General features: G+C 51.6%; 1 protein-coding gene across 5 annotated transcripts in view, besides 4 other annotated features; it reads right to left on the reverse strand.

Annotated features, from left to right (window-relative positions):
* Positions 9,189-9,483: a silencer, noted in NCBI's record as "tiled region #6289; HepG2 Repressive non-DNase unmatched - State 3:PromF, and K562 Repressive non-DNase unmatched - State 20:ReprD". NCBI's record gives its function as "represses a minimal TATA promoter and a strong SV40 promoter by Sharpr-MPRA in HepG2 and K562 cells {active_cell/tissue: HepG2 | K562}" and the evidence as "EXISTENCE:reporter gene assay evidence [ECO:0000049][PMID:27701403]".
* Positions 11,465-12,238: an enhancer, noted in NCBI's record as "H3K4me1 hESC enhancer chr3:194781985-194782758 (GRCh37/hg19 assembly coordinates)". NCBI's record gives its function as "activates a minimal SCP1, AML or CMV promoter by ChIP-STARR-seq in naive H9 embryonic stem cells {active_cell/tissue: H9 hESC(naive)}" and the evidence as "EXISTENCE:reporter gene assay evidence [ECO:0000049][PMID:30033119]".
* XXYLT1 (xyloside xylosyltransferase 1) overlaps positions 18,493-24,434 on the reverse strand; it is a 202,876-nt gene continuing 196,934 nt past the window's right edge. For all 5 annotated transcript variants that reach the window (NM_152531.5, XM_005269286.6, NM_001308069.2 and 2 more), the window contains one exon: positions 18,493-20,320. In NM_152531.5, coding sequence (NP_689744.3) covers positions 19,924-20,320 — 397 coding nt within the window. In that variant the 3' untranslated portion in view covers positions 18,493-19,923. The remainder of the gene's footprint in view (positions 20,321-24,434) is intronic.
* Positions 18,541-19,740: an enhancer, noted in NCBI's record as "BRD4-independent group 4 enhancer chr3:194789061-194790260 (GRCh37/hg19 assembly coordinates)". NCBI's record gives its function as "activates an origin of replication core promoter dependent on BRD2, P300/CBP, MED14 and CDK7 cofactors, and independent of BRD4, by STARR-seq in HCT116 cells {active_cell/tissue: HCT116}" and the evidence as "EXISTENCE:reporter gene assay evidence [ECO:0000049][PMID:35650434]".
* Positions 23,313-23,813: an enhancer, noted in NCBI's record as "H3K4me1 hESC enhancer chr3:194793833-194794333 (GRCh37/hg19 assembly coordinates)". NCBI's record gives its function as "activates a minimal SCP1, AML or CMV promoter by ChIP-STARR-seq in naive H9 embryonic stem cells {active_cell/tissue: H9 hESC(naive)}" and the evidence as "EXISTENCE:reporter gene assay evidence [ECO:0000049][PMID:30033119]".

Here is a 24,434-nt window from a genome sequence, read left to right on the forward strand (position 1 = left end):
CTCAGGTAGACCCCAGTGTCTCGTTCCCTTCTTTGCGTCCATGTGTTCTCATCATTTATCTCCCACTTGTGAGAACATGGGGTATTTGGTTTTCTGTTCCTGCATGAGTTTGTTAAGGATAATGGCCTCCAGCTCCATCCATGTTTCCTCAAAAGACATGTCTCCTTCTGTTTTTTTTTTTGGCTGCATAGTATTCCATGGTGTGTATGTACCACGTTTTCTTTATCCAATCTGTCACTGATGGGCATTTAGGCTGGTTCTATGTCTTTGCTATTGTGAGTAGTGCTGCAATGAACAGTCAGGGCCATGCGTCTTTATAATACAATGATCTCTGTTCCTCTAGGTATATACCCAGTAATGGGATTGCTGGGTCGAATGGGAGTTCTGCTTTTAGCTCTTTGAGGAATCGTCACACTGCTTTCCACAATGGTTGAATTAATTTACACTCCCATCAACAATGTATAAAAAAAAAGTCTTCTTTTCTCCACAACCTTGCCAGTATCTGTTCTTTTTTGACTTTTTAATAATAGTCATTCTGACTGGTACGATTTGCATTTCTCTAATGATCAGTGATGTTGAGCTTTTTTTCAAGTGCTGTTTGGCCCCGTGTATGTCTTCTTTTGAAAAGTGTCTGTTCATGTCCTTTGCCACTTTTTTGTTTGTGTTTTTCTTATAAATTCGTTTAAGTTCCTTATAGATGCTGGATATTAGACCTTTGTCAGATGCATAGTTTGCAAACATTTTCTTTCATTCTGTAAACTGTTTACTCTGTTGATAGTTTCTTTTGCTGTGCAGAAGCTCTTAAATTTAACTAGATCCCTTTTGTCAATTTTTGTTTTGTTGCGATTGCTTTTGGCATCTTCGCCATGAAATCTTTGCCTGTTCCTATGTCCAGGATGGTATTGCCTCGGTTGTCTTCTAGGGTTTTTATAGTTTTGGGTTTTATATTTAAGTCGTTAGTCCATCTTGAGCTGATTTTTGTATGTGATGTAAGGGAGGGGTCTATTTTCAGTCTTCTGCATATGGCTAGCCAGTTATCCCAGTACCATTTATTGAATAGGGAGTTCTTTTCCCATTGCTTGTTTTTGTCAGCTTTGCTGAAGATCAGATGGTTGTAAATGTGTGGCCATATTTCTGGGCTCTCTGTTCTATTCCATTGGTCTGTGTCTGTTTTCGTGCCAGTAGTATGCTGTTTTGGTGAAGTATAGTTTGTAGTATAGCCGTGTAGTATAGTTTGAAGTTGGGTAATGTGATGTCTCCAGCTTTGTTCTTTTTGCTTAGGATTGCCTTGGCTATTCGGGCTCTTTTTTTGGTTCCATATGAATTTTAAAATACTTTTTTCTAGTTCTGTGAAGAATGTTGTTGGTAGTTTGATAAGAATAGCATTGAATCTATAAATTGCTTTGGGCAGTATGGCCATTTTAATGACATTGGTTCTTCTTAGTCATGAACATAAAATGTGTTTCCATTTGTTTGTGTCATCTCTGATTTCTTTGAGCAGTGTTTTGTAATTGATTTCTTTGAGCAGTGTTTTGTAATTCTCATTGTAGAGATCTTTCACCTCTCTGGTTGGCTATATTCCTAGGTATTTTATTCTTTTTGTGGCAATTGTGAATGGGATTGCCTTTCTGACTTGGCTCTCAGCTTGGCTGTTGTTGGTGTATAGGAATGCTCGTAATTTTCGTACATTCATTTTTTATCCTGAAACTTTGCTGACGTTGTTTACCAGTGGAATGAGCTTTTGGGCTGCGAGTATAAGGTTTTCTAGATGTAGAATCATGTCATCTGCAAACAGGGTTGGTTTGACTTCCCCTCTTCCTATTTGGATGCCCTTTATTTCTTTCTCCTGCCTGATTGCCCTGGTCAGGACTTTCAATATGTTGAATAGGAGTGGTGGGAGAGGGCATCCTTGTCTTCTGCAGGTTTTCGAGGGAAATGCTTCCAGCTTTTCCCTGTTCAGTATGGTGTTGGCTGTGGGTTTGTCACATAGATGGCTCTTATTATTTTGAGGTACATTCCTTCAATACCTAGTTTATTGTGAGTTTTTGACATGAAGGGATGTTGACTTTTCTGAAAGCCTTTTCTACATCTGTGGAGGTAATCATGTAGATTATCTTCAGTTCACGACATATTTAATTCCATTGCATTCATGTATCCTGAATAATTTCAGTCCTATTTTGCTTTCCAGGGTCAACAGTATTCAGTTAAGCACCACTTTCTTCTTGAGCAACTTTCTTCTCTCGGTTCTTCTGGCCCCTTCACTTTGTTGTTCCCCTGTTACTTCAATCTCCTTTGCTAATTCCTCCTCCTTTTCAGCTCAGTGTGTGAATGTTGGAGTGTTCGGAGTTTGGTCCTGGGCCCTCTTCTCACTATTTACACTCTCTTCTTAAGGATTTCAATTAGTCCAGAGGCTCTAAATATCATGTATCAGTGCTTTCTTATTTTTTGTCTAAGCGTCACATAGAAATAATTTTTTAAAAACCCAAACAGTGCTAAAAAGCTTATTTTTAAAAAGCAGGAGTATCTTATCTATCTTCCCCACACCTCTTCAGAAACAATCTCTTTTCATTTGTTTCCTTCCAGGATTTACCTATTTATCTCCATATTTCTAAACAGCATGCATATCTTGCTAGCCTTTTTACAATCAATTTTATATAAATGTGTGTGTGTGTGTGTAATTTTTTTTTTTTTTTGAGATGGAGTCTCGCTCTGTCGCCCAGGCTGGAGTGCAGTGGCACAGTCTCGGCTCACTGCAGCCTCTGCCTCCCAGGTTCAATCGATTCTCTGCCTCAGCCTCCCGAGTACCTGGGATTACAGGCACGTACCACCATGCCCGGACAATTTTTGTATTTTTAGTAGAGACTGGGTTTTGCCATGTTGGCCAGGCAGGTCTCGAACTCCTGGCCTTAACTGATCCACCTGCCTCAGCCTCCCAAGGTGCTGGGATTACAGGTGTGAGCTACCATGCCCAGCCTCGATTTAATATATTATCTGTTAACTTCTTATTATAGTAAATAATGATTTGAGATATTTTACATCATCTATTTCCCTCTTTGCACTTCAAGTTTTAAAAAAAAATCTGTAGTAGTATTTCACTGATAGGATTAAGTTAATATTTTCATTGATGGGCCCAGCAAATGCATATTCTTTCTTTAAACCTTTTTTTCTGGAGTCAATAATTTTTATTTGCTTACTTTTTGTTGTTGTGGTTATTGCTGTTTTACTCTCTGGCTAGCTCTCCCTGCACCCTCTAAGGCCTGTCAGTTATTCGCATGGTCAAGTATGTCACTACTTTGTCAGTTCCACTTCCCTCCAAACCCCTCCCACCTCCCGCTCCCACCTCCCACTCCCATCTGCACTGCCGCTCTCCCAGCCTGCTGCACAGCCGAGCATCCCCTTCAATTCCTGGCTCCATTAGCCCCCTGCTTCCTGGATCTTGTGCATTCTTTTTTCTTGGTTTACTTCCTTGCAATGGTGACGCTTTCCTCCTGAAGCTTTCCGAGAAAGGAGGCAAATGTTCTAAGAGTTTGTGTGCTGTGTCTTCATTCTTATCTCACACTTGACTGGAGTTTCTAGGATTTTCTTTTTGTCTGATATTCTTAAATTTCACATTGATTGCATTGAGGTCAGCCTTTTTACCTTCTTTGTACTGTGCATTTCTGTCTTCCAGTTCTAGCAACTTTTCTTACATGATTTCTTTGGTACTATCCTCCAAATTACTTAGAACTTACACTGGGCAGATGTTGAAACTTCTAATTTCTGAAAATATATTTTTCCCCTATTTTTCACTTTTGTCTTTTCCCCTCTCCTTTCTTACAGAATTCCTCTAATTCGTTGTTCAACCATGTTATTCAATTTTTTTTTTTTTTTTTTTGAGATAGAATCTCGCACTTTCACCCAGGCTGGAGTGCAGTGGCACGATCTCGGCTCACTGCAAGCTCTGCCTCCTGGGTTCACGCCATTCTCCTGCCTCAGCCTCCTGAGTAGCTGGGACTACAGGTGCCCACCACCAAGCCTGGCTAATTTTTTGTATTTTTAGTAGAAACGGGGTTTCACCGTGTTACCCAGGATGGTCTCCATCTCCTGATATCATGATCTGCCCAGCTGGGCCTCCCAGAGTGCTGGGATTACAGGTGTGAGCCACCGCGCCCGGCCGAATTTTTTTATTTTATCTATCATTTTTAATTGCCAAGAATATTTGATTAGTCCTGGGTGTTTCTTTTTTTGTAGCCCTTCTTTGTGTTTCACAGATGCGGTACCTCCTCATCCTTTGAGGATATTATAATTTATTTTGACATTTTCTTTTTCTCTGAGTGCCTTTTCTCTGATTGTGTGCTTTGATCTCTATCTTTTGTGTCAGAGGGCTTTCCTCAAATGTCTGATGGACTTTATCTGAGCCCTTGTGTCCAAATGCAAACAGGAGACTCTGGGTGTACAGGTGGGATTAGGAGACTGGTGGGCTTCCTTGCAGGGTGCTCTGGTGGTCAGTTGGTATTTCCATTTAGGACCCCGAAATGTCATAGCTACAGGTATTTTCTGGGCAGTTCAGTTTCTCCAGAGAATAGAAGGTGTCTCCTCCAATTGCCTGCTCCAGGACAGAAGCCCAGCTGCTGGGTCCAAGAGCTGGACAGGGAAGGGGCTGGGGCAGGTCTCCAGTCAATGTGCAGAACCTCGCTCAGCTTGTTGTTTTTAGTCAGGGCTTCACCACTGCCCCCCCGCCCCCATTCTCGGGGCCTCCTAGTGCATTTTAAACAGAGAATAAAGTTCCAGTCTCCTGCAGGACTGGGGAGAGGGTGCTCATCGGTGGGGACCTCATGGGGACTGCCTCTTAGATTTTCAGTGCCTCCCGCCCCCTCCCGTTTCCAGCCCCCATTTCCCAGGCCTCATTCCCACCCTTCCCAGCTTGTGCCTCCCACTCCCCTTCCTTCCTGGCTTCTGTAAGGTGTCTCAGCTTCCTTTCTGTGGGCACGCTGTGCCTTGCAGGCACCTACATGGGGGCTTTCTCCTCTTTGCCAAGTCATTTCTCATTCTTCTGTCTACCTCCTATCTTCACCTACTGTGATTTGGAGGCATAAACATCTTCCCATTTCCTCAGACTGGAGTTTTATTTTAGGGATTTTTTTCTCTTTTATTTTGGGGGTGATTTTCAAGAGAATGGAAGCAATGTGTCCCTCACTTAATCATCTTGAAACCATACAACTGACACCCAGATGTATAGCCCACAACCAACCCCTCTCCTGGACCCTCCCCTGAATGCCAACAGCCTGTTTGAGGTCTATACTTGGTTGTTGAATAGACACCTCAAGTTTGTCACCAACAGGACACTTGATTTCTTCCCCTCACCCCAAATTGCTCTGTCAACATCTTCTCTATCTCAATAAAAGCATTCCCCAAATTCCTCAAGCCAAAGCCACTGGCGGAAGCCTGGACTCCCCTCTTTTGCTCGTCCCCAGTCCGCCTACAGCCCTAGCCCTCAGCAAGGCCTGGATGCTCCCCCTTCACACACTTCCTGCTTCTTCATTCTGTCCACTTCAATCAGTCACCAACCCAAGCCTCCTTCACCTTTTGCCTACACAATTTTATCACCCCCTACCTGGGCTTTCTCCTGACACTCTTGTCCCCTCCAGCCTACTCTATACAATGACCACAAATGTCACTTCCCTGCTTCAAACGCTCCAGTGGCTTCCTGGCTTCCCATCACATTTGGATAAGACCCAATTCCTTCCTGTGGCAATGAGGCCCTCCGTGACCCACCGCTCGCTCTCTCTGTGGCAATGAGGCCCTCCATGACCCACTGCCTCTCTCTGACCTCACTTCCTGTGCCTGCTCTCCTCTCTATGCCTGGGCTACCACGGTCTTCTGGCCATCCCTCCAACTGCTCCAACTTGTTCCTTCCTTGTGCCTTTGTTCTCGCTGTTCCCTCTGCCTGGAATCCTCTCCCCAAGACGTCACATAGCTGCTTCCTTCACTTTTTTTTGAGACGGAGCCTTGCTCTGTCACCCAGGCTGGAGTACAACGGCGTGATCTTGGCTCACTGCAACCTCCACCTCCTGGGTTCAAGTGATTCTCTTGCCTCAGCCTCTCGAATAGCTGAGATTACAGGTGCCCACCACCACGCACAGCTAATTTTTGTATTTTTAGCAGAGACAGAGTTTCGCCATGTTGGCCAGGCTGGTCTTGAACTCCTGACCTCAGGTGATCCGCCCGCCTAGGCCTCCCAAAGTGCTGGGATTACAGGCATGAGCCACCGACCTGGCCCCCTCCTCCTCACTTTTAAGCTTGTTTACTTATTTGTTATCCATCTCTCTTCCCACCAGAAGATAAGCCCCCTGAGGTCAGGAACCATGTGCACCTTGATCCCTGCTGTATCTCCAGCACCTAGAACAGTATTGGAGACACAGTAGGAACCCAATAAATACTTCTTGAATGATAGACTAGTTGGAAGCCAGAAGTCATCTGCTCTAGTGCAAGCTTTACCACTTGCAAGCTAGGCAAGTGTAGGTAACTTTACCTCTGTGAGCCTCAGTTTCCCCTACCTGCACAATGGGGATAATAGTCTCTTTCCTTTCCATCTGGGGTGGGTGGGCACACTGTTGTAAGGTGAAATGAACCTTGTGAAATGAAAGTGAAGACCCTTCGTAAGTGCATATTTGTGAACCGTGAGGTCCTGTGGACTCATGAAGGGCAGGAGAGCTGCTTCCATCTTTACCACTCCCCCCAGCCCCCACTTACCCCAAGGGAACCTGGGAGTGAAAGGAGGGCTGCAGGGAAAGGGCACTTGAAATTAATAACCTTATTTCAGAGTGAAAGTCCCACTGCCATTTGCACAGCAGGAAGCAGGAGAGTAGCAGCTCTTCGGCAGGCAAGGACTCCGTATCTGAGGCTGGGGAGCTCCTGCACTGGCCCTGGCTGAGCAGCGAGGTGGCCCAGGCTCTGCAACCTGAACCCACGTGGAGTCACACCATGACCCAGGACTCCACGGATTATACTGACTCAGCTAGAGTCAAGAGGGCTGCAGTGCTTATTGATGACATCTTTTTAAAATCATTATTTCAGAGACAGAGTCTTGCTCTGTTGCCCAGGCTGGAGTGCAGTGGTACCACCACAGCTCACTACAGCCTCAAAGTCCTGGACTCAAGGGATCCTCCCACCTCAACCTCTTGAGTAGTTGGGATTACAGGTGCACGCCACCACACCCAGCTAATTTTTTTTTTTTTTTTACTTTTTGTAGAGATGGGTATTGCCATCTTGCCCAGGATGGTCTTGAAATCCTGGGCTCAAGTTATTTGCCCACCTTGGCATCCCAAAGTACTAGGATTACAGGTGTGAGCCACTGCACCCAGCATCTGTGTGTGTGTGTGTGTGTTTTGTTTTGTTTTGTTTGTTTGTTTAGAAAAATCACAGCACCTTCTGGCACAGGTCAATGTTATCTTAGCTGGGTCAGGACAGTTCCTTCTGTATTTAGGTAAGGTTGTCAATCTTCCTTTTTAAAAATGTCGGCTGCAATTTTAAGAAATGATATTGTGTTTTGCTTCCTAGGGCTCCTTTTATTAATCCCCCTCCCTTCTCAGGGTTTTAGCCCAACCATGAGTGTGTGATTCGATCTGGAAACTGTCCAGAGCACAAATCAAACCAAGAGGGCTCTTCCTGGGCTCCAGCGTTTCCACCGAGCCATGTTTTCGCGTCGGCTTCAGGACAGGTGCAGTGGGTGCCCCTTCCCCAAGGCACCTCCCACTCTCCTGTGTCTCTGTTTGCCTTTGGGATCCTCAGGGTGGCTTTCTGTGGTGCTTTTTGTAGGAAATTGAGATTGCCATGGGGAAAGGGGAAAAGGGAGAGTGATGAGTGTGGTCATTTTCCTAAGGACCCGGTCCTGCGGTTGTTCAGAGGGTACTCCCCTTCCTAGAAGTAGGAAGAGCCTCTGAAGCTGGGACCTGAATGTGCTCAGGAGCAGAGTCACTGTTTCTCAAAGGAGTTAGTTGAGGAGACCAGGAGGGAAATGAGCTTGGAAGTCTAGAATCCTAGGGCGCTCAGGACACACAGGTCAGGCCCCCCAAGCTCTCGTCTGTTCCTTTTCTTGCGAGCTCGCATGGCCTCTGCTTGCACACCCCCAGGGACACGGTGCTCACTCCTTCTCTAAGCATCTCCTGCCATGTCTGCCTGCACTTCAGGACCATCCAGCTGGGCTCTGCGGAGCAGGGGTAATAGAACATTTTAGGGTGTTCCCAATCAGATAAAGGGAATTTTTTTTTTTTTTTTGAGATGGAGTCTCACTCTGTCATCCAGGCTGGAGTGCAGCGGTGCAATCTTGGCTCACTGCAACCTCTGCCTCCTGGGTTCAAGAGATTCTCCCGTCTCAGCCTCCCAAGTAGCTGGGACTATAGGTGCCCACCACCACGCCTGGCTAATTGTTTTTGTATTTTTAGTAGAGACAGGGTTTCGCTATATTGGCCAGGCTGGTCTTGAACTCCTGACCTTGTGATCCACCTGCCTCGGCCTCCCAAAGTGCTGGGATTACAGGCATGAGCCACCGCACCCGGCCAGATAAAGGGAATTTTATGGTGAAACAATTGCCGCAGAGACCGTCATGTCCCAGGAATCTATTAAGCTAGAGAAGAGGACAGATGTGAGCACAGGATATTAATTCAGTGGGGGCACAGAGGGGCCTTTCCTGCCAGGAGTGTTCATTTCTGAGCCTCCACCCCTCAGTCTGCCCTGACGCCAAGTCCTCCCAAGTGCCTGGCACTCTCCCATCCCTCCCTCCTGTGGCCCCCTCTGGGATTCTGGGGGCTGGGCAGCCCTGGGCCTGTCTCCACTCACTCTGCCCTCCTGTTTCCTGAATCCGCCGCTTCCATTTCTCTCCTGTACTGAGGAAGGGGATGGTTTTCAGTTATCCCCAGGCAAGTAGCAGAGAGTTAATGAGGGCCCACCCTGTGCCTGGCAGTGGAGTCAGTGGAGTCAGGTGCAGGGAGCACGAAGATGCCAGAGCTCCTGCCTCCCAGGGGTGCGGAAACCAGAGGCACAGTGGGATGCAAGAGGCGGTGGGAGCACGGTGGTGCCTGTCCAGCTAGAGGTGCAACCCGCTGACACGCCAGGCCCCGGGGACCCGCATCAGCCTCTTGTGGCATCCAACAACATGGAGCCCGGCAAAGTGAAATTAAGAAGGTCCGTCTGTATCTGTGTGCCTTGAAAAAGAGTGAGGATCCTATTCATAACCCCGGCCACAAGCGTCACCATCTCTCAAACTCTCTTTCTGTGAAACAGGCCCTAAGCACCTCTCTCCTCTCCCCATCATCCGGCCGCGCGGCCTCCTGTCAAAAGGGCCCTGGACTTCTGCTTCCTTCCGCAGGCCATGCCAGAAAACACAGGCTGCTCCTAGACAGAGGCCCCAGCGTCCGCCCTCCGCCCCCGCCTCCTTCACCCACCTCAGGACATGCAGCTCGTTGCTCAGGATAACGCTCTTTCTTACAAGCCCTGGACAAGAAATATTCTCCACCAACTTGCAGAGGGAGGCTCAGGGTGTCACAGGTGACAGGAGGGACACCCAGCTCCAGCTGAGGGGGCAGGGAGGCTTCCTCTCCCTTGAGCTCAGTTCTCACAGAGGAGCAGAGGTGGAAGGAAGAAAGCGGTGAGGAGCAGGGCAGGTGCCCCAGCAGAGCCACAGGAGGGTCTGGGCACAAGCGCAGAGCCTGGCCCATTCGTTCCTTCATCCCCACGGGTCACGGGCTGAGAAGACAGACTCAAAGTTAGCTCTTCCCACGACGGCTTGTTCACGCAGACCTGAGTCCGGAGGCGCTCGCTGCACTTGGTATAATTCCCACTTTCTTGTCTTTTGGTACCAAGAGATTCCAACCAAAGGCTTCAGTCCCCTGGCAGGTCTAAAAGCCTGTGATGACCGCCAGGAGCCCCAGCCTGAGAAGGCCCTGTCCTGTCTCACCCAAACTGTGCCGGGACCCCTCCCCTTTTGCACGCGCCGTGCCGGGACCCCTCCCCTTTTCCATGCGGGACGACTCCCTAGAACGTGAGGATGCTCGCTTTGCTTTTAAAACTTTGTCTCCACCTAGGCCTTGAAGTATAGATTCTGGCACAACCCCTTTCTGCTACAAAGGAGGCAAGTGAGGGCTAGAGATGGGACTAACTTGTCTGGGTCACACAGCAAGTCTGTGGCAGGGCAAGGATAATAATCCTAGGGGCAGAGTCCACCCAGAGCCTGGATGGAACACAGCACGTATTTCCTCTCTAGGGCTCAGGTCATAGCCTCCCTGGTAGTTCCCTGGTAGCTCCCTGTGTAGAGTTGGGACCCTAGCATGTGCCACAGAGAGGCTCAGAGAGGCCAAGTATGCTCCTAACTAAAGGCCACACAGCCGTGCTTTCTCACCTGGGGCACGCAGCAGGAATCCAGGAGGCATCCCTCACCCTCAGTGTGGATCCATGGGGACCCCTCTCTGGGCACCGACCTGCAGCAGTGAGACAGACTCACTGCGTGGGAAGTTCTGTCAGAATGAGGACTGACCCGCCCTCTTCACCTCTGTGACCCCAGAATCTAGCCCATGCAGGGGCTTGGTCAGCTGAGATCATGTCACTGCTCTCCAGCCTGGGTACAAATGAACAAAGTGTCACAGATGTCAACTTGTGCCCCCTCCTGAAAGCCTATATTCTTTTCATGGAGTTCTTCTGACTGACCCTGCCCATGATAAGCAGTGGCCTCACCCCGATGGAGGCTCACCACTTTGGCATCACCCCTGGCACGGGCAGATGCTGCCTCTGGGTCTGCAGGGCTCTTCACCTTTGGAGAGCTCCTCACCTGTCTCGAAGGTGGCTGAGGTCCTGCCTCCTCCTGCCGAGCCACAGCCCTACAGCCTGTCGGTGTGCCCAGGGCTGCTCACAGATCCCCTGTGGGCCACTGGGCCCTGTCGGGATCCACACGTGGAGGGAAAGGACAGAAGAATAAGGTCTTGTTCCCTGCTAAAAGCAGATGGCCCTCCCTGGTGTTGCCATTGGGACCAGCTAGCACCACTGGGGCACGCTGGGCTGGGACAGTCTGGGCAGTGTCACCATGGAGAGGTGGCTGACCTGCACAGGCAGCCTGGCCTGTGCTCTCGCCCAGGGAAGGATGCCAGGGAACCTGCAAGAGGAGAGAGCGGAGGCAGGACATGCCCAGAGCTGAAAGCCTTTGAGGAGAAAGAACCAAGAGTAGACTAGAGGGCAGCCAAGGTGGGAGCTGCAGGAGGGGGTGCTGTGGGCCGCCGGGCCTGCAGGGGCAGCGCTCCGGGAGGGACGCTGCTGTGCCACCAGCCCCTGCTTCAGGATGGAGGCCTTGTTCTCCCGCAAGTGTTGGGCGCTGATGGCAGGGAGCAGAGTCCCCAGGAGTGACCCTGGCTGAAGAGAGCTGCCTTGCCCAAGGCTATGCCCTCACCCGGGGCCGCCCATGCCCAGTGCCAGGACAGGTGAGGGTTGAAGGCCCCACTTCTGGGCATCAACCCAGGGCTTATGTGCAAGGCCACCCTGGCTCTGGGGCTCTCTGTGGGACTGGCTGAGGCCTTTGTCATGACTGTCTCGGAGCTCAACATCTCCCTGCCTAATCCTGTTCCCTCCCCTCCCACAGAGCAGTTTCCAGGAAGCCTCCTGCTCGTGAATCTCCATCTCTCGATCTGTGTCCTAGGAACAGCAGAAACCCAGTAGGGAGAGGCAGCAGTGGTGTGGGATTGTAGTACAAGGGGTCTGGGTGCCAGGGAGACGGGGGGAGCCCCAGCTGGGGAGTTTCAAGGCCTGTGCGGCAGGAGGATCCTGGGGTCCCTGGGAAAGGAGGCTGAGCTGGGGAAAGAGGCTGGAAGGAAAGAGACTGCCGTGGCTTCTTGGTTTGGAGAGAAGATGAAATTTCCTAAAAGGATGGACAGGATGAGATGGATCTAAGCTTACCCTGAAGCCGCCTGCCCATGACCATAACCAGGCACTTTGAGTTTTCCGTGCGTGTGCTCACCTGGCCTTGGAAGATTACAGCCAGTCGTGTCACTCTCTATTGCTGGAAAGAAGAGGATTACCTGCTTCCCTGACACCGTGCCTTGCGAGCACGGAAATTCACAAACACCCAGCGGGCACTCTCAGCCCTCGGGCTTGTGCCTGCGTCAAGCCATTCTGGGCCTTGGGAAGTGCCAGGACCGGGCTGGGTAGGCGGAAGAGCTTCCTGGTTTTGCCTGAGGTAAGGGAGAGGGGCTTTTCCTGAGAGAAGGTGGAGGTGCCCAGTGACGGGATAAGTGGGGGTTGAAGGTCGCACTCCTGGGCTTCACCCCACGGCTTCTGTGCAAGGCCACCCTGGCTCTGGGGCTCTCTGTGGGATCGGCCGAGGCTTAATGGACGAACGCCAGGCTCCATCCATGAGACGGCTCGAGTGTGGGGTCGGATGGCCATGGCACTCCCCTGGCAGGACTTCAGCACACCACAGAGCTCCGAGGAAGCTCAGCCATGGCCTGTGTCTGCCCTGGCGTCTCCATGCGGCACTGGGTTGGGCTGGGGTGTGAGGGAGTGAGGTATGTCTAGGGTCTTGAAAGTTCTTTGCTATGAGTTATCTCACCTGCTACTCACAGCAGTCCTGGGAGGGCGGGCAGATCAGGAGCTGGTTACATTCTCCCCCACTCACAGTGGTGCACCCGCTGGCCACAGTCAGGCAGTGAGGACAGGCCAGAAGCCAGGGCCCCTGCCTCCCCGTCCAGCCTCCTTCCACAGCGGCATATGCCACTCATGCGGAGGCAGCTCTGACGCGGGCCACACGCGCTGGAGGACTCCAGTATATCTTGGATCACAACGTGTCAATGCACAGAGACACGTGAACACGAGCACTGTGGTGGAGAGAAAGTGGGGGCTCGTGCCGGTGACCATAGGGGTGGGGGCCAGGTCTCGGGGGAGTAGCTTGCACCACTTAGTCAAAAATGAAGTATCTGCATAGCTTATGATCTGGCGGTTTTGTTCCTGGATATGCAACACAAATTCTCATCGGGTCTGTAAGGAACAAGGGCAGGGATGCTCACGCAGGGTTACTGGGGTGAGCGTGTGGTCCCAGGCTCCATAGGTATCCGTCAGTGCACAGTGAGCCCATCAGAATGGTTGGCTGCTCGGGGGATGGGAGAGGACTGTGGGAATAAAAGGGAATGAAAAATGGAGCGAGAGGCCCCTACAGAAAACAGTGGCGAGCGTGGGTCCTGAAGTGAGGGGGAACGTTGTCTTGCTCCATAAGGCAGCTGGGAAGGTCCGCGGGCTCCATGCTCCCGCGCTCCTGCACAGGCCTGAGCAGCAGGGGGCAGGGGGCTGAGGTGCAGGCTGGAGCCAAGCCCTACGGTTCAGGAAGGGAGGCTGGAGACAGGAGGGCAGCCGGCTTTGGAGATGTGAAGAGGCCCTCCCGCTCTGAGGCTCCGCAGATGAGTGGCCTTCAGCAAGGCTGCTGAGTGTGTCTGCGTGGTGGGACACCTCTTCCCCCTCAGAATGGGGGTGCCAGTGGAGATGCTCTGAGCTGAGCCAGCCTCAATTAAACCGGCCTTCCCTTCACTCTAGAAGGTGTTTTGTTCTTTGCAAGCTCCTTGGGGAGTGGCTGGCTGGTCCGCTCAACACGCCCCGCAGGGTAGCTCTACCTTCTCTCCCTGGTGAAGACTCGGCACTTCCCAAGGTGAGACCAGTGGGGCATGGGACTTTCTGCTGGGGGGGACCCTTTGGAAGGTGGTCACATAGCTGAACGGGACAAGATGTTAGCAGGTATAGCTGTCAATGGATCATAAGCAGAGAGGTGAGGGCTCCTGGGGGACAGCTGATTCTCTTTGGATTGTAAGTGCGCCTCCAGAGTTGGTCTGCACCCCTCACTGTGCCTGTGGAGAATGCGGGAGAAGGGAAGTGTGTAACCGCATACTTTGAGACAGTTTTACTCTGCATGTTCATGTCATGAATCCTAAGTGGGTGAATGACGAGTTGAGGTCTGGCAGTTTCGCATTTGATCTGGACTCTTCTTTACCCACATGTGAACCCCAGTGGCTGCATTTGAAACATGTGTTTCCCCAGACAGCTGGGGGCAGGGATACTGCCCAGAGATCTGGTTCAATCCCTCAGCTCCTTGTTTTTGCAGATGAAGAAACAGGCCCAGAGAGGAAAAAGGTTTATCCAAGGACTCGTGACAGGTTAGCTTTGAGCTGAGGCAGCACTGCCTCCACCTCCTGGACACGCCCAGCAAGTTATCTGTGGACACCTGACTGACAGGTTCACTGTGAGCTGAGGTAGCCCCTGACCTACTGGTTTTTGTGGAGTGGCACAGCCAACAAAAATTGGACAGCTTACAAGCATGCATCTGTTCATCCATGGGGTTACGGAGATGCTACCAACACATTTCATGAGCTCCAAAACGGCTGTAATTTATAATTTAAAAAGAATATTCTAAGTAATAATGGTTAGAATTCCCTTACATCTGTATTATTTCACAGCTTACCAAGTCCTTACACATCTTTTCCTCCTTCCACACTCCTTTGAGGAGCTCTTACCAGTGTCTAGAACTGGGGAAAGAGGTGGCCTTGCCTGTCCAAGATGGCCAGGTAGTGAGGGCAGGATGTGGACTCAAAGCCAGGCCTCCGTCTCGGGTGTGAGGCTGTCTCCACTATACCACCTGCTTGCTTGGAAATTTCTGCTCCCTGCCAACCTCCAGATTTAGCCCAGCCCGTGGGCCTCCCATATTAAGATCAGCCAGGAAGTGTTAAAATTAGCAGAGGTTTGGCCTCTAGTCAAAGCAGGTGCCAAGACACAGCTGCACTTACTACCTTAACCTACAAACTCCTGGTGTGCTCTAGGTTGGGCCTGTGAACCAACACATCATACTTTGACTTGATGAAATGCTGTTGAAGGAGAGGCCGCAGTCTGTTTGGTTTGACACACACAGAAGAGCAAATCTCTTCAGCAAGCCTGCGTGCTTTCCAAAGGCCATCATCATTTGTAGGGTGGACTTTGTGTATACACAAAAGATGACAGTATATGAGAAATGAAAGCAGGGTCTGGAGCTGCTATTATTAGATCGCTTTTATTTGGAGAACTGGGGCATCCACAGGGAAGTTGAAGACCCAGAGCCGACTCAGCCTAGATTATGTGTTCTTAGGGGTGACATCGGCCATGGACAGCCGGGAGCTGTAAGACGGCCAGGCTGACACTCACCTGGAACTGGGGAGAAGGGATGTGGTTAAAAATGTACAGCATTTATTATCTTATAATAAAGGTAATTAATACTCGATGTGGAAAATACAGAAATATAGATGAAAACAAAAAGCACCTTAATCCTAGCACCCAGACATGTTATCTTTTCAGATTTCTGTTTTCCTCATATGTACAGGCGTATTCTCGAGAGTGGGTTTCCATGAAGCAAGTTAAGCACAGCACAAGGAACTATGCTTGCATGACAGCAACTGTAACAGGACCCAGGTCAGGAGCTGGCACTCCACGACTTGTCAAGCACGGCAATGGCGAGGCACAGCAAGCCCCGGCTGCTCTGTCAGCGGGCTGGGGTGTGATCTGTGGGCGGGCTGGGGTGCCTGTGCGGTGATCTGTGGGCGGGCTGGGGTGTGATCTGTCGGCGGGCTGGGGTGCCTGTGCGGTGATCTGTCGGGCTGGGGAGTGATCTGTCGGGGGGATGGGGTTTGAACTGTCAGCAGGCTCGGGTGCCTGTGCAGTGATCTGTCAGCGGGTTGGGGTGTGACCTGTGGGCGGGCTGGGGTGCCTGTGCGGTGATCTGTGGGCGGGCTGGGGTGCCTGTGCGGTGACCTGTGGGCGGGCTGGGGTGCCTGTGCGGTGATCTGTCGGCGGGCCAGGGTGTGATCTGTTGGCGGGCCGGGGTGTGATCTGTTGGCGGGCCGGGGTGTGATCTGTCGGCGCTCTGTGATCTGTCAGCGGCCTGGGGTGTGATCTCTCAGCGGGCTGGGGTGCCTGTGCGGTGATCTGTTTGCGGGCTGGGGTGTGAGCTGTCGGCGGTCTGGGGTGTGATCTGTCGGCGGTCTGGGGTGTGATCTGTCGGCGGTCTGGGGTGTGATCTGTCAGCGGGCTGGGGTGCCTGTGCAGTGATCTGTCGGGGGGCTGAGGTGTGATCTGTGGGCGGGCTGGGGTGACTCTGCAGTGATCTGTCGGCAGGCTGGGGTGTGATCTGTCGGGCTCGGGTGTGATCTGTCGGCGGGCTGGGGTGCCTGTGCAGTGATCTGTCGGTGGGCTGAGGTGTGATCTGTGGGCAGTTTGGGGTGCCTGTGCAGTGATCTGTTGGTGGGCCGGGGTGTGATCTGTTGGCGGTCTGTGGTGTGACCTGTCAGCGGTCTGGGGTGTGATCTGTCAGCGGGCTGGGGTGCCTGTGCAGTGATCTGTTGGTGGGCTGGGTGTGATCTGTTGACGGGCTGGGGTGTGATCTGTCAGTGGGCTGGGGTGTGATCTGTGGGCGGGCTGGGGTGCCTGTGCAGTGATCTGTCGGCGGGCCGGGGTGTGATCTGTGGGCGGGCTGGGGTGCCTGTGCAGTGATCTGTCCGCAGGCTGGGGTGTGATCTGTCGGCGGGCTGGGGTGTGATCTGTGGGCAGGCTGGGGTGCCTGTGCGGTGATCTGTCGGGGGGCTGGGGTGTGATCTGTGGGCGGGCTGGGGTGCCTGTGCGGTGATCTGTGGGCGGGCTGGGGTGCCTGTGAAGTCATCTGTCGGTGGGCCGGGGTGTGATCTGTCGGCAGGCTGTGGAGTGATCTGTCGGTGGGCTGGCTGCCTGTGTGGTGATCCGTCGGCGGGCTGGGGTGCCTATGTGGTGATCTGTCAGCAGGCTGGGGTGTGATCTGTCTATGGGCCAGGGTGTGATCTGTTGGTGGGCTGCAGTGTGATCTGTCGGGCTGGGGTGTGATCTGTCCGCGGGCCGGGGTGGGATCTGTTGGTGGGCTGCGGTGGGACCTGTCAGCGGGCTGGGGTGTGATCTGTCAGCGGGCTGGGGTGTGATCTGTGGGTGGGCTGGGGTGCCTGTGCAGTGACAGTCTGCTGTGCACTGGGGGGTTGGAAGGTCGAGGCCACTGGTGACAGAGGGGAAGCTCCTGAGAGGTTTACTTAAAAGTAAATGAGGGATGTTGTTTGGCCTTTGCCCATTTTGACCAACCAGCTTATTGTTTTTTTCTTGCAACAACAAAATACACACATAGCTATAGACACATTTTAATTATAGAAAGGATTGCAGGGAAAATACCTTTATTATTGTGAGTCTAAAATTCTTTAGCCTTTAACTCACTTTTTTCCCGTTGAAATAATTGTTTTTTTAATGTGGTGTTTGAAACACCTATGTTTTTAGAAGTTGAAATACAGCAGAATAGATGCTCTTTTTATACATACGTGTGTGTGTAGGTATGTATCTATACACACGTGTGTACACTGATATACATACACATATATGTAATTTTAAAAATAGGATCGTATTAAACATATGATCTTACATTTTGCATTCTTTATTTAATAGCACATTCTAAGTATTTCCTGAGGCATTACATATTCTTCGAATAATGCCTCAAGTATTCTGTTATATGGATGAAGCATATTATTCATCTACCTATTCCATTCTTTTTTTTTTTTTTTTTTTTTTTTTTTTAAAGACAGACAGAGTCTTGCCCGGTCCCCCAGGCTGGAGTGTAGTGTCGTGATCTCAGCTCACTGCAGCCTCTGCCTCCTGGGTTTGAGTGATCCTCCCAGCTCAGCCTCCTGAATAGCTGGGCGTGCACCACCATGCCCAGCTAATTTTTGTATAGTTGTAGACACTGGGCCTTGCCATGTTGCCCAGGCTGGTCTTGAACTCCTGGGCTCAAGAGATCTGCCGGCCTCAGCCTCTGAAAGTGCTGGGATTACATGTGTGAGCCACCGCGCCTGGCCCCTCTTTTTCACATTTTAAGTTGCTTCCAATTTTCTTCTACTATAAAAAATGTGATAAACATATAGTATATGACTCTGTCCACATCTCTCACATTTTCTTACAGTCGACTTTAGACATAATGACCTTCATGAAGTTTTCATAAACATTATCAATAGCGTAATAAATCCCCCAATACAATGGCTGGTGCACAGCAGGCATTCAAGAATTGTTACCTATAAATAGGAAATCAAGTAGGTGAGAGAACAGACCAATTCTGTCACAGCAGAGGGCTGGGAAAGATATCTGCTCCACCTCTTCAGGGCAGGATGTAACTGGGCAGTCTAGGGTAAGAGGGATGAGAAGAAATGGGGATGCTTTTGCTCCCCAGTGCAGGTGGACCTGCCAATACCTAGAATGAAATGATTCCTTGCTTTGAACCAAACATGCCAATACTACCCTCTCTGACACCCTCTCAGATGTGCCCTCTCCTTGGTCCTTAGGATCTCCTGTAAGCACTCATCTTCATCAGGGGAGGTGGGGATTCCAATGGCATTGAGTACACACTTGATTCAGAGCCTTCATGCAGCTGAAACTGTGATCAGAGAACAAACAACATGAATCACCATGTTCTCAAAGATGATTTATTGGCTATCCTCACTCATGGGAAAAAGAAAAACGTAAATGAAATCAAAACAAAACAAGATGAAAATTGATACAAATGGACCCCTGGGGCTTTCACGTCTGCAGCCTACGTACAGGAGGCCCCATCAAAAGAAATGACGCTTTAATTTCTGCTAAGGTCTACGGTCTAACGTGGTATGATAAGGGGATTTTTTAAACAAAGAAACTAGAATGCTTACTAGCCCATGAGTGACATGTCTTCCAAGCCCACATGGTCACACTTGGGAATTGCTGGGTTCCTTTTTGGTTTTTTTTTTTTTTTTGAGATGGACGTCTCACTCTGTCGTCCAGGCTGGAGTGCAGTGGTGTGATCACAGCTCAGTGCAGTGAACTCCTGGACTCAAGCCACCCTCCCACTTCAGCCTCCCAAGTAGCCGGGACAACAAGCACAAGCCACCACACCTGGCTAATTTTTAAAATATTTTGTAGCGATGGGGGCCTCCCTGTGTTTCCCAGGCTGATCTCGACCTCCGAGGCTCAATCGATACCCCCACCTCGGTCTCCCAAAGTGTTGGGATTACAGGCTTGACGACTGTGCCCGGCCTGGGCTTTTTGGAATGAGTCTTCCTGGTCCCGACAGTTCTCCTGCATGTCCTTGTGGTGGCCAGTCTCTGTTCTTTGATGACGAATTTGCTTTCTGAGTAGAGTCTGGTCACCTGGAGCTGGTTTGGTGGAATAAAGGACAATGGGGTTCTAGGATGTAGCTGGGAGATACAAGCTGTGAGTACTCTAATAATGAGATAAGTTTTCTTATGCAGGCCCCAGTTGGTCCTGAAGTCCTTCCTCAAAGAGGCGATCCTGAAACCTACACCAAGTGACGTGAGCATCAGGAGAATGCGCGTGCAGCAGCCTCCCAGGGTGAGTATGTGATGGGCTGGCATTCGTTTGGAAGCTTAGATACTGGGCTGGTCATTAAAACCTTGGCTTACCTTACCCGTTTGGGGCTCGATGGGTGCTAAAGCAGTTCTGTTTGTACTTTCTCGAAAAATGGAAGGCTGTCAATTTAAATTAAATTTATATTGGTCCAAAAAAGGCCGGGTCTAAAGGATTTCCATTCCTCAGAGGCAGACAGCAAGGGGGACCCTTTCTCCCCTTCCTTCTCTTCAAGTGCTTGCTTCCCAGCCCACTGGACATGCGTGTCCTTTGTGTCGCCTGCTCCCTGGAGGAATAAGGTCCCAAGCACCAGCAGTGCACAGGCCAGTCCTTGGCGGGTGGCCTCAGCACAGTGACCTGCCCGGCAGGAGGTCTCAGCACCTTAATCACAGGACTTCCCTGCGGTGTCTCTCTAGCGGGTCAGACACTGCCCTTGGGTCTGTCCCAAGGAACCCTGTCCTTCCCCCAGATCTGGAGGCCCCGGGGGCAAGGCACGGGGAGCGCCTAGTCCTCCGGGATGGGAGTGTTGCAGTTCCCGTGGTAGATCTTGACGTGGCCCTCACACCTGAAATAGGCCTCGAAGACGTCACTGTAGCCATGGTCCCTCCACCAGGTGCACAGCTGCCGGTTCCAGGTACAGTCCAGCACATGGAAGAGCTTGGGGTGCTCCATGCCGATCATGGTGAAGAAGTCCTGGTCCCCGAGGTGGCCGCGGAAGTGGTACTTGTCGGCCAGCTGCTGCACCTGCGCCGGCTCCAGCAGGCGGCTGTAGAGCGGGGACTGGCGCATGGCCTCCAGGTTCAGCAACATCACCCCGCTGTTGAAGCCCGGCAGCCCCTCGGGGGGCGGGCCCCCAACCCGGGTCTGGGGGTTCTCATGGCGGAACTGCCAGAATGTGTGCCTGTGGAGAGAGAGGACAGAGTTAGTCCGGTGTGCAGGGGAACCAGCCTGCCGGCCTGCTGCCCTGGGTCTTCACAGCCAGCCTGCATGCAAACACTGCCACATTCCGGGGTGCAGAATCCGCATCACTACACCAGCAAGTGGCAGAGCTGGGACCTGAACCCAGGGCTCTGGACCCCAAGCCTCAGATTCTTTCTACCATCCTCTGCTACGTCCTCACCACAGCCAACATTGATATTATTGACTGAGGATGTACCAGGCGCCATACTAGACCGGCTTACTTACTCCCCACACAACCCCAGGGGATGGGTGCTCTGAGATGATACATCATTTCACAGCCAAGAAAACGGACGCACAGAGAGGTCAAGGTATTTGCCCAAAGTCACACACCTAGTAAGCAGCAGACGCAGGGACTAAACCCAGACAATCTGGCTCCAAAGTCCACATTCTTAAGATAGCAGCAATCTAGGTAGAACTTTCCACCCCCTTGTCTTCACCTGTGATCTTGAAAAGGAGAAGGGAGAGAGAAGCAGGGGACACAATCCTGAACAGAGATCTCATCAAGACGCAGGCAGCTGAACCCTGACTGGAACAGAACTGTTTTCTGCTTTAGAACAAGGCTCATTCATTGAGCCCCAAGCCTGGCACTTCAGAAAGGCTGGGCAGGGGCTGGGGGCCTGCGACAGCCCAGGGCACACCATGGGTTAGGGTGAAAGACAGCTGTAGAAGAGCCATGTAGGATGATGTCTACTTTAGAAGGAATGTCACTTCAAGTTCAATTTTTCTCTCAGCAGATTTAGAAACCAATCTAGGTTCATAGTTCAGGGAGTGTTAGCCTCTTCTAGGTCCTCTACCCAAATGCTTCCATCTGGAGGGGAGAAGAAAGACCTAGACACCTCCCTGTGAGGGCCAGGGTTAAAGCGCTGCACTGTCCTCCAGCCTCTTTAATAGCTAAGCCTCATGTGTGCTGCAAGGGGTGTGCAGGTGGAGGGGAGAGGCGTCCAAGCCCACACCCACAGAGGAGGGGCCACAGCAATCGTGCCGGTGACCTGGAGGAAGGAGGACCATCAGGAGGCCCACTGTGGCAGGGACAGGCGTGGGAGTGGGTCCTCACGGGGAGGACACATCGTGGCAGAACCAGCTCTGCCTCCCAGCCTGGAGATGCTGCCCCACCGGCCCCCGCAGAGAGACTTCCCCACCCAAACCCAGGATAGGATCTGCGTGATGAAGCAGAAGGTACGGGGGAATAAAACCGGAGACCCTGCCCAGGGTGGCCCTGAGGGGCCACTTCTCAGCACCAGCACATTGCTCCGCTTCTGGGAACGGAGGAACCTTCCTCAAGGTCTCACGTATCACAGAGAGTGCCAAGAGTCTGATCCTGGCGAGGGGGAAGCATTCCCTCCGGACATTCTTACAGGGGAATCCACAGGGCCACTGCTTGTGTTCTGCTGTGAGTGGAACCGAGCTCTGGTGCCTGCCTGGTGGTAACAGCCTTGGCAAAAATAAGCTTCTCAAGCAAACTGAGATGCTGTCATCTTGCCACAAAAGTCTGCGGTGATAGGGTCACACAGGGTTGGGATGCAGTGTGGCAGCTGTGTGTTCATTTTACCCTATTTCTTCCCAGTGGTTCATTTCAGGACCAGGTTATAAAGCAGCTAAAATTCTACCAGGCAGACCAGGGCACCATGACATCAGAGAGGAGGGACCCTCTGACTAGGGGCAGTGGGTGCTTTACCACCAAGGAGCTCGATTTACCCTTCGAGGGGTGGGAACGAAGCGTTTACCGAGGTGGAGCAGAGACCCAAAGGGAGGGAGGGCACGAGAAGCAGGGAGGCAGGACCTGTGGCCGCCGAGGTCCTGGACTACCTCATGCTCCACGGAGCCCACGTGTCCATCTTTCTTTACTGTCCAGAGTACCCAGGAGGGAGAGGACTCACCCAGCTGGGGGTGTGGCCCGTGCAGTCTCTTGTGTCCACAGGACCTCACAGGGCACCAGCACAGCAGGGCCACAGGAAAGATCACAGGGCTGATGAGGAACGATGGAAAGGCAGGCGTGGGGTGGACCGTGCAGCTGTCGACACCGGGTGGAAGCAGGGGGCAGGACACTGAGGACACGATGCTGCACCTGCAGATTCACTGAGCCCTCAACCTCCCCACCAGATCTACTGTGGGGTTGAGTGAGGAGCAGGAACCCGGAGAGGCTCAGGTGTCTTTTTAAACGGCTTTACTCCTAGCAAGTGGGGAGCAAAGAGGCCGCCCACTGTTCCAGGTATCCTTACCAACCTCGGCAGGAACGCTCCCAAATCTTCTGTGTCTGCAGCAAGGAGGAGCAAACAGTGAACTAGCACTGAGCTCGCTGGGCTCAGGAGATGGGGGCCGCAGGCAGAGAGAAGAGGACAGAATATGCCTCCAGGAGAAGGCCACAGCACAAGTGGCTCTTTGGGGACAATGCTCAGCACCACCACTCAATCAGGATGAAGAGGTATTTGATGATGGTCAGAAAGGACTGGTCTGGGCATCAGCCTGAGAAGGAAAGGAGGGACAGGAAATTGGGCGTGCAAGCTGCCCCGTGTGTGTGCTGCAGCAGAAACACAGCCTGAAAAGGAACAATGACTGTCCCCACCCAAAGCGATGTTCAGGGGGCCCTTGTTCAAGGCGTCCCTACTATCCCCAAATGAACCCAGAAAGACAGAGCAGTCACCTAAGGGAATGGTGGGTTTCTCTGGCTTCTGTGTCTGCTGGTTCTCGTAGAGGAATCGCATCAGCCTCGGGGTAGAAGGAATGGTACGGGGTGTGGACAGTATTGGAGCTCGTGCGAGGAACTTCTATCCCATGGCAAAATGGCCTAAACAGGCAGTACCGCCAATCCCCCCAACGCAACAGCACAGCGTGGGTCACGAAGCCCTCTCACACTCTCCACCTCGGCTCCCTCTCCCTGGCAGCCCAGGGACATTACTGCCTGCATTTTTGCAGAAAGGGAACAGAGGTCCTCAGTTTGTCGCAGGCAGGGCTTCTGATCTCTGAGGTCCCTTTGATCTGACTGCCTCGGATTCCACGGGCTAGGGTTCCAAGGAGGTGCGCTTGGATTTCAATCTTATTTCTGAATTTGGGTGGCACCGGCCGAGGCCAGGGGACAGGGTGATCGGGTGATGCTGGCACATTAGGAACTTAGGGCTCAGACCTGAGGCCTCTACGAGGCAGGGCAGTGAGTGTCCCAGACCCCTGCCCTTCTTCACAGGAGTCTGGGGCTGACAACGTATATTCAGGGGCACTGTCTGTGGCACGTGCAGAGGCTGCAGGAAACCTTTGTATAAATGCAGGTATTTGGTTCTGAGTCCTGGAGCATCCAGAAGTTTCTCTGACTAACCCCTCCCCCCCTCATGCCCACAACCCAGCCACTTTGCTCTAACTATCTGGATTGTCTAACCGTCCGGCCTGTGGAGAGTCTTGTTCCTGTCTTCCATAGTCACCTGGAGACCCACGGTAGAGGGGATAAGCCTTTTTCACCCCTTTAGAAATAATTTCAACTGGAAAACAAGCCCCCACGCAGACAGTCCCTGGTAAATATTGGGTCTTTTCAGAAGTCAAGGAGGCCCTTTGGGAAAATAAAAATTAAGAAGCTTTAAGAACATTCTTCCAGTCATAAATGCATTTTCTAAATTTTTAACATTGAATATAACTTAATAATCATAAAAAAGACTATTAAAAGCTAGTCAACTAGTTTTCATGAAGAAAACCCATCTTTATGGAAAAGGGCATCTGAAGTCATTTGGAAAAGCACAGTTACTTCCTCGCTTCAAGTCTTTCCCTGATGATCACAACCAAGGCCGCTCTGCTAAGGGCTCTCGAGAGAGCCGGGCTGGAGAATCTAAGGGCTCGTCCTCCCCAGTAAAGGGCACACGTGGCCATCAGCCCTCCCACCTCCTCCTCCCACCACTCCAAACCACAGGCCCTTTTGCCTCCGACTCTTCGTGATTTTTTTTCTCCTGCCCCTTTCTCAGCTCCTCAGGTCGAGTTCACCACCACCACCTCCAAGAGGGAGGAAGCGAGGATGGGAAAATGCTGAGCCTGGGCTGTCTGCACAAGACTCTGCAGGAAGGTTCTAGAAGCCTGTG

This window comes from Homo sapiens, chromosome 3 (assembly GCF_000001405.40).
Source record: "Homo sapiens chromosome 3, GRCh38.p14 Primary Assembly".
NCBI classification, from domain to species: domain Eukaryota; kingdom Metazoa; phylum Chordata; class Mammalia; order Primates; family Hominidae; genus Homo; species Homo sapiens.